Source organism: Homo sapiens, chromosome 3, assembly GCF_000001405.40.
Source record: "Homo sapiens chromosome 3, GRCh38.p14 Primary Assembly".
Lineage (NCBI taxonomy): Eukaryota > Metazoa > Chordata > Mammalia > Primates > Hominidae > Homo > Homo sapiens.
Genome location: NC_000003.12, coordinates 161974547 through 161983462, shown reverse-complemented (window position 1 = coordinate 161983462; position 8916 = coordinate 161974547). Strand labels below are relative to the sequence as shown.

Here is an 8916-nt window from a genome sequence, read left to right as displayed (position 1 = left end):
CTATAGCTCCATTTGGCCTTGAGACTGCATTCAAAGCCATCTGTCAAGGGGTGCAAAAGGAATCATGCACACTAGTGCCTTGGAGGAAAGGCTCATTTGTTCACTGACATTAGTCTCAGCAGTGAACCTGAAGCTTCCTCTGGGGTTTAGCTCTAGCTCTCCTCAGCTGAGGTGTCAGCTTAGAGATGCTCATGCAAGGACACAGAGGAAGCCTCACTTGTATCTTACAGGCCAGGAGTCAGAGCCTCCCTGAAGGGCTCGCCTACCTCTGTCCCATAGCAGATTCCATGGGGACCCAGTCTCCTCTCTGTCCCCTTCTACTGAAGACAGGGAACTATCTTGTCTGCCCAGGAACTTGCTGGGAGATGCTATCTCCTCTGAGCCAACAAGGCTGGGTTCTTCAGCCTCTGCCCCACAGCAGATCCTATGGGTGACTAGCCTCAGCTCCAGCAAATCCTGATGCAGCTGAGGAACTAACCCATCTGGGCAGGGTTCTCCTGGGAGACATGTGCTACTCTGAACCAATGAGACCATGCTCCCCAGACACCATTCCCCAGCCTCAGCTCCAGCCCTACTATTGCAGTCGGAGAACTATCCCATCCATGCTGAGACCTCTGGGAGGTACATACTTCTATGAGCCAAGAAGATAGGCTCTCCAGCCTCTGTCCCACAGGAGATCTTTAGGAGACCCAGTCTCAGCTTTGGCACTTCCCACTACAATCAGGGATTATCCTGTCTGTGCAGAAACTTGCTGAAAGACATGCATCATTTTGAGCCAGTGAGACTGGGCTCTCTAGCCTCTGCTCCACGGCAGATCCAGAGGGGGCCAGGTCTCCACTCTGGCACCTCCCAGTGCACTCTGGGAACTGTCCCATCTGTGCTAAGGCTTGCTGGGAGATGCATGCCTATCTGAGCCAATGAGATGGACATTCCAGTATCTGTCCTATAGCAGATTCCAAGGGGGTCCAGTTTCTGTTCCAGCTCCTCCTGATGCAATCAATGAACTATCTTATCTGTGCAGAAAATTGTTGGACAATGCACATATCTCTGAGCTGTGACCAGGCTCTCCAACCTATGTCTAGCAGCAGATCCTCGGGTGACCAGTCTCATCTCTAGCCCCTCCTGTTGTAGTTGAGAAACTACCCACTTGTTCAGGCACCTGCTGAATGATGCACATTGAGGGAGCTGCTGAAAGAAAGAATCATCAGGGCAACTGGGACAGTATTCTGGACTCAAGTCTCTGGCCAGCATTCTTGTAAAGCCCCAGTAGCCTCCCTGGGACTTCCCCAGGTACATTTGGGCCAGAAAGCCACATCAACCTTAATGTCCTCATGAGACTGTAAAAATGCATGGAAATTAAATAACATGCTCCTAAATGAAAAATGGGCCAATGAAGATATTAAGAAGAAAATTAAAACATTCTTTAAACTAATGAAAATAAAAACACAATGTATCAGAACACATGGAATATAGCAAAAGCAGTGCTAAGAAGGAAGTTTATAGCAGAAAATGCCTACATCAAAAAAACAGAAAGACTAAAAATAACCTACTGATGCAACTCATAGCGATAGAAAAGCAAGAATAAACCAAGCCCGAAATTAGTAGAAGAAAATAAATAATAAAAATCAGAACATAAATAAATTAAATTGAGACAAAAATTCAAAATCCAATAAAATAAAAAGAGTTTTATGTGTGTGTGAGAGAAACAGAGAGATGGAGTCTCGCTCTGTTGCCCAGATTGGAGTGCAAAGGCCCAATAGCAGTTCACTGTAACCTCTGCCTCCCAGGTTGAAGCAATTCTCCTGCCTCAGTCTCCTGAGTAGCTGGGACTACAGGTACACCACCACATCAGCTAATTTTTGTACTTTTTAGTAGAGACAGGGTTTCACCATTTGGCCAGGCTTGTCTCAAACTCCTGACTTCAAGTGATCCACCCACCTTGACCTCCCAAAGTGTTGAGATTTCAGGCGTGAGCCACCATGCCTGAGCAGTTATTTTTTTTAAAGGTAAACAAAATTGATGAATAAACTGATAAAATCGACAAGAAAAATAAGACCCAAATAAAATCAGTGAGAAAAAAGGAAACATTACAACTGATACAGAAATAGAAAGGGATCATTTGGTATTTTTGTAGAGACTAATATGAGCAACCATATGCCTAACATGAGCAACCATATGCCAAGGAATTGGAAAACCTAGAATAAATAGATAAATTCCTGGATACATACAGCCTACCAAGATAGAATCTTAAGTTAATAGAAAATCTAAATAGACCAATAATAAGCAATGAGATCAAAGCTGTAATTTAAAAAATCTGTCAAATAAAAGCCCAGGACCAAATGTCTTCACTGCTGAATTTTATTAAACATTTAAAGAAGAAATAATATTAATTCTACTCAAACAATTTCAAAAAATTAAATAAGAGAATATAATTCCAATCTCATTACACAAGGTCAGCACTATCTTGGTATCGAAAGCAAATAACGACACAACAAAGAAAGAAATATCCCTGATGAACATAGATGCAAAATTACTCAACACATTACTAGCAAACTGAATTCAACAACACATTAAAAAATCACTTATTATAATCAAGTAAGATTTATCTCAGGGATGTAAAAATGATTCAACATATTAAGTCAATAATTGTGACAGTTCAACAGAATTGAGGATAAAGCCATATGATCATTTCAATAGAGGCTAAAAAAGCATTCAGTAGAATTTAACATCCCATCATGATGAAAACTCAAAAATTTGGGTATATAAAAAACATACCTTAACACAGTAAAGGCTATATATGACAAAACCATGGCTAATATCATACTAAGCAGGAAAAAATTAAAATATTTTTCACTAAGCTCTGGAACAAAATCAGGATTCTCATTTTCACCACTTCTATTTAACATAGTTCTGGAAGTCCTACTGAGAGAAATTAGATGAAAAAATAAAAGGTATCCACATGGGAAAGGAAGATGTCCAAGTATCCTTATTTGCAGATGTCATGATCTTATATTTAGAATAAACTAGATTTCACCACAAAATTCTTAGAACCAGAAAATGAATTTAGTAAAGTAGCAGGATACAAACCATCAACATACAAAAATTAGTAATGTTTCTCTAAACTAACAGTGATCAATATTAAAAAGAAATCCCATTTATAATAGCTACAAAAAAACTTGCATAAATTTAACCAAATAAGTGAAAATTGCTATAAGAAAAACTGAAATGTTAATGAAAAAAATTGAAAGAGATAAATATTCCACAAAGCTATAGTAACTAAAGCAGCGTGCTACTGACATAAAAAGAGATATTTTGATCAATGGAACAGAATAGAGAATCCAGCAATAAATCCATACTTGTTCCTAACTCATTGTTTTGTATGTTCTTGGTGCAGGAAAAGACAGATTATTTATAAAATGATGCTTCAAAAACTGGGTATCCATAGGCAAAATAATAAAATTGGATCCTCATCTCTGACTATATACAAAAATCAACCAAAAAATTTTAAAGATAGAAATGTAAGACCTAAAACTGTGAAACTACTGAAAGAAAACATTGGGGAAATGCTATAGGACATTGGTCTTGGCAACAATTTTTGGAGTAAGACCTCAGAAGCACAGCCAACAAAAGCAAAAATAAACAGATGGAATTTACAAGGTAAAAAGCTCCTGCACAGGAAACATTCAACAAAATATAAAGACAGACTACCAAATGGAAGAAAATATTTGCAAACTATCCATCTAACCAGGGATTAGTAACCAGAATATATAAGTAATACAAACTACTCAACAGGAAGAAAAATAATCTGATGACAAAAAAATCATGAAGGACCTGAATAGACATTTTGATGGCTGCAGTGGTCCATCTGGAATGGCCTCTGTGAAGACACTGGCTGCAGCAGGAAGGCACTGCAGTAGCGACATGCTCCATGGAGCTGACAGAAACTGGAATCAGGCAGAAGCCCCACCTGCTTCTGAGTTGTGGGGTGGGAGCCCTGCCTTCCTGGACACAGCTGCAACCACCTGTCTATGACTGTGGACCTGGGCATCTCTGTGATCTCAGGGGCCTAGGAAGCCCCCTACCCCCACAGGGTTGGAGGTGCCTGCTTCTGCTGCCTGGCCCCTCCCTGCTCCCAGTGCCTGCTCCAATTTTGGAGTAAAATTGAGGATGAGCCTGGATGCTGTTGCAACCTGGCTGGGTGTGTGCATGCTCAGGGCAGCACTGACACGCCAGACCCCTGCCATTTCAGAATCTTCTGGACTTTGGGCACCAATGAGCAAGGGAGGGAAGCTGAGTGGGGACTAAAGGCAACTCAGCATGGGCCTGCAGGTGCCACTCAGCACAAGCAGCCGGGGTGCCATGAGCACCGTGGATGGCAGGTTGATAATGGCAGGAGGCAGACAGGCTCCTGGGCATATAGGGGTGTATACCCAATGATGCCGCACCACCAAACCGGGGACAGCCTGAAGCATGGGGCTAGGCTATAAGTTCCTGGTAGAGTCTGTGGCCCGGAGTGAGAACTTATGATGCTTTTTCCAGGGCCGCCCATGGCCTCCCAGGAACCAATCAATATGCACTTTATCCCTTCTGAAGCTCATAAAATCCCTGGCCTCAACCAGACTTGGGCAGACATCGGGATTACCTGCCTGTGAATAGGAGCTACCCACTCCGGGTCTCCTCTCTGCTGAGGGCTGCAGATGTCAGGCAACCTGCCTGTGGATAGAAGCTACTGACCTAGGGCCTCCTGAGAGCTGTAATGTTGATCAATAAAGCACCTCTTCATCTTACCTTCAAGTTGTCTGCATACTTCATTTTTCCTGGATGTGGGACAAGAACTTGGGACCTGCCAAATGGCAGAACTAAAAGAGCTGTAACACAAACAAGACTGAAGCACACCCACCCACTGGCCACATTGTGAGCAATGAACAGTAACCAGAATATAAGTAACTCAGACAACTCAATAGGAAAAAAATAATAATCTGAGGACAAAAAATGATGAAGGATCTGAATAGACATTTTGATTGCAGCAGTGGCCCATCTGAAGTGACCACTGCGAGGACACTGGCTGCAGTGGGGGAAGCACTGCAGGAACAACATGCTTCATGAAGCTGGCCAGAATAGGACTACTGACTTAGGGTCTCCTTAGAGCTGTACTGTCACTCAACAGCAAACAGTGAGAAGGAGAGAAGAGCTGCAGCCCTTTGGGGACTGCAGACCTAATGGCTTCCTGAGCCAGGACAGTGATATCCTCTTGGAGGCTCTGCAGTTCCTGGCATCTCCCAGCTTCCAGGCACCACCTTGTTCCCTGGAGCCCACAGTGGAAGCCGCTTGTGATATGCCTGGTCAAGCTGCAGCCTCACACAGAGCCGGCACCTGTACTGGTGCCTGGTACTGCCCACCCCGTTGCAGCAGCTGGCGTTCCTGGCTGTGCACAGTGGTTGGACCCCGTGCTTGCTAACTCACACATCCCTCATCGCACTGTTGGCAGGTGTGGGATCCGGGCTAGCAGCACGAATCAAGAACAGCCTGACAGGCCGAGTGGGCAGAATGAGTCCAGTGGGCCCAAGCAAAACTTAGGTGAAGGCACCACCAGCCACAGTGGCTTCTAGCTGGAAGAGCAACACCCCAGGGATCCTGTGACATTTTTTATGGGTTCATCTGGGATCGGCAAAAGTGTGAGTAAAAGTGGACTTGCTGCTTTCTGTTCTTTTTTCAAAGTCCCTAAACTCCACAATAGCCAAAATGAAAGAAAAACATGGGCCTCTGTCCAGTTAAAAGTGACTAGAGTGGCTGCTGGACTTAAGACACAGAGGATAGGTTTGCTGGTGAGGACAATGCCAATTCTCCATCACACTTGGGTATTGGGAATGTTGGCTTTGTTCCAATTCAGTTTTCCTTCATGGAGGCCTAGCCATCACGTGGGATCAGAAGGAGGTCCTGGGGCAACTGAGGGTGTCTGGCCAAGTTTACACCTCAGTGTTATCTAAAGGCCCCTCAACTAACTGTACATCCTGACCACAATAGAACACCCAGTCTTTCCAATTGCTCTTCATTTTTTTCTTTCAAGGCTGCCATTTTCTATCCTCTTCTTTACATACAATGTTAAGGGTGTCGTTGGAAACCACAGAAATAATATTACTGGGTAAAATAAGCATTTGGCTTAGTCATCAGGAGTGTAAATCAGAACAATGTGGTGTCTGTCTATTCTTAGAAGCAAGGAGGATGTAACAACTGAGAGTTTTCTTTCCCCTTGAAGGAACCCATTTGCATAGGTCAAGAGGCTTCAACTGGAGGATGAAAAGCTTCATCTACCAGCTTTCAGCCAATGGAATGTTCTTAAAATCCTCCACCAAGCCTTCCATTTAGGTAAGGATAAAACCTATCAAGTGGCCCAGAGGTTGTTCTCAGGTAAAAATCTGCTAAACATGGGCAAATAAGTCATTAATGCTTGTGAGACATGCCATAAAAATAATCCCCTCAATAGATGGCTTCTCCCCACTGAAACCCAAAGAACAAAAGACAACCTAGGGGAAGACTGACAGATGCATTTCATCCATCTGCCAAAGACAAGGGGCATCCAGCACCTCCTAGTATGGGTAGATCCTTCACTAACTGGGTAGAAGCTTTTCCATGTTGAACGGACAAAGCCTCTGAGGTGATAAAAGTACTGATTAATAAAATAATTCCTTATTTTGGACTTCCTAAGTACATCCAGAATGATAATGCCCCCTTGCTCAAGGCAGCTGTCACCAAAGGGGTCTCAAAGGCACTAGGTATACAACATCATCTTTATTGTGCTTGGACACCACATTCCTCAGGAAAGGTAGAAAAGACAAATAATATTATCAAAAGTCACCTCAGAAAACTGTCTCAAGAGACTCATCTCCCCTGGATTACTCTTCTCCCCATAACCCTATTACATGTTAGAAACACCTCTAAACAGCTGGATTTAAGTCGCTTCAAAATGATTTATGGATGGCCTTGTCTCAACAATGATTTCTTGCTAGACCAAAAAAATCTCTGATTTAATTAACATATAACTTACTTGGCCCATTTCCAACATGAACTGAAACAACTATGGGAGGCCCAATCCCATGAAATGGAGCCACCTCTATTCAACCCAGGGGACTTAGTACTGGTAAAGGCACTTTCTTCCTTTTCTCCCTCTCCAGGCCTGGAATGGGAGGGACTTTACACTATACTTCTTTCTACTCTTATGGCAGTAAAGGTCCCTGAAACACATTCTTGGATTAATTATACTCAAGTAAAGACCTAGAAAACTGATAAAATTATCTCTGTTGACCCAGGAGAGCACCTGAAGTACCAGAGTGAAGAAATCAGGGACTTTAAGCAAAAAAAATCACAAAAGGTAAGTGCTAATAGTTAACCCTCTATGGATACCCTATGCTTAGTGTTCTCGCCTTTGTTCTGTTCCTCACCATAAGGCATTTTTGTCAAGGACCCCTTAATCCTGAACTCTCAAGAGATTATCTACTCCCCTAAATAGTTATTTCTCTTTAAAAGTTTGACTGCCCCATATAAGATATAATTTCTTTCACCAGCGTGAAACAGCAATAGCCACAACATTGTTTTCAGAATGATTAGTCTATTTTACTTCTGTTATCTTTGGCACTAAATTTTTTTCTTCATATATTTAACCTCCTTGTAAAAATTGTTTCTTCTTGCATAGAGGCCATCAAAGTCCAAGCTGTCATCCAACTGGAGCCTCAGATGTTGGCCCCCTTTTTACTGGGGACCCTTAGATAGGCCTCTGAGAGAGATTTGATTGCTGTTTTCCCCAAAACAATGTCCCCTGTCAGCATGAAGCAGTGAAGAGCAGTCATTGTCCTCATCCTAATGGCAGTTAGGTGTACCTCTTCAAAGGTGGGATTGGTGTCTGCAGTGGCCTGTCTAGAGTTGCCATTGCAAAGACACTGGCTGCAGTGGGGGAGGCATGTCCAGAGCTATGCACTGTAAAGAGCTGGTTGGAGCCCTACCCCCTTCTGAGTTGGCAGGGCAGGACACTTGCCCTCCTGGGCACAGCTGCAGCTGCCCAGCCGTGGTCACAGACCTGGGCATCCCTGCACTTTCAGGGTTCCAGGAAGCCACCCTGCCCCCTCAAGCTTGGAAGTGCCTGCTCCCACTGCCTGGCCTCTCCCCGCTTCTGGCACCCACTCCAATTTTGGAGCAAAGTTAAGGCCAAGCTTGGGCACTGTCACACAACTGAGCCAGGTATGCACATGCTCTTGGAGCAGTGCTGACACACCACCCCCCTGTTTCCTAGACCCACTCCAGGTTTTGGGTGCTGACAAGCTCAGGAGGGAGGCCAAGGAGGGCTGAGGGCAGCTTGGTGCAGACATGAAGGTGCCACTCAGCTCAAACAGCCTGGCACTGTGGGCACCATGGACAGCATGTTGATGACAGCAGGAGGCTGACAGGCTCCTGGTTGGAAGGGGGCAGGTCCCAGGTGAAGCCCCACCTTCAAGCCAGGGACAATCTTAAGCATGCCTACCAGGTTGTCAGCTCTGGGTGGAGTCCGTGGCCAAGAGTGAGAAATTATGGTGCTTTTCCAGGCTTGCCCATGGCTGCCCATGGACCAATCAGCATGCACTTTCTCCCTTCTGAAGCCCATAAAAACCCTGAACTCAGCCAGACTCCAGCAGATGTCAGGACAACCTGCCTGCAGATAGGAGCTATCCACTTTGGGTCTCCTGAGAGCTGTATTGTTGTTCAATAAAGCGCCTCTTTGTCTTGCTCACCCTTCAGTTGTCTGCATACCTCATTCTTCCTGAACACAAGACAAGAATTTGAGACCCACCCAATGGCAGGACTAAAAGAGCTGTAACACAAACAGGGCTGAAACACATCTCCCACTCGCCATGTTGTAAGTGATGAGAAGGAGAGTTGAGCTGCCAC

General features: G+C 44.4%; 1 annotated feature.

The window, feature by feature from the left end:
* Positions 430–599: an enhancer, noted in NCBI's record as "experimental_65796 CRE fragment used in MPRA reporter constructs". NCBI's record gives its function as "activates a minimal promoter by MPRAs in K562 erythroleukemia cells, with activity observed for both the introgressed and non-introgressed 3:161700737 variant alleles {active_cell/tissue: K562}" and the evidence as "EXISTENCE:reporter gene assay evidence [ECO:0000049][PMID:34662402]".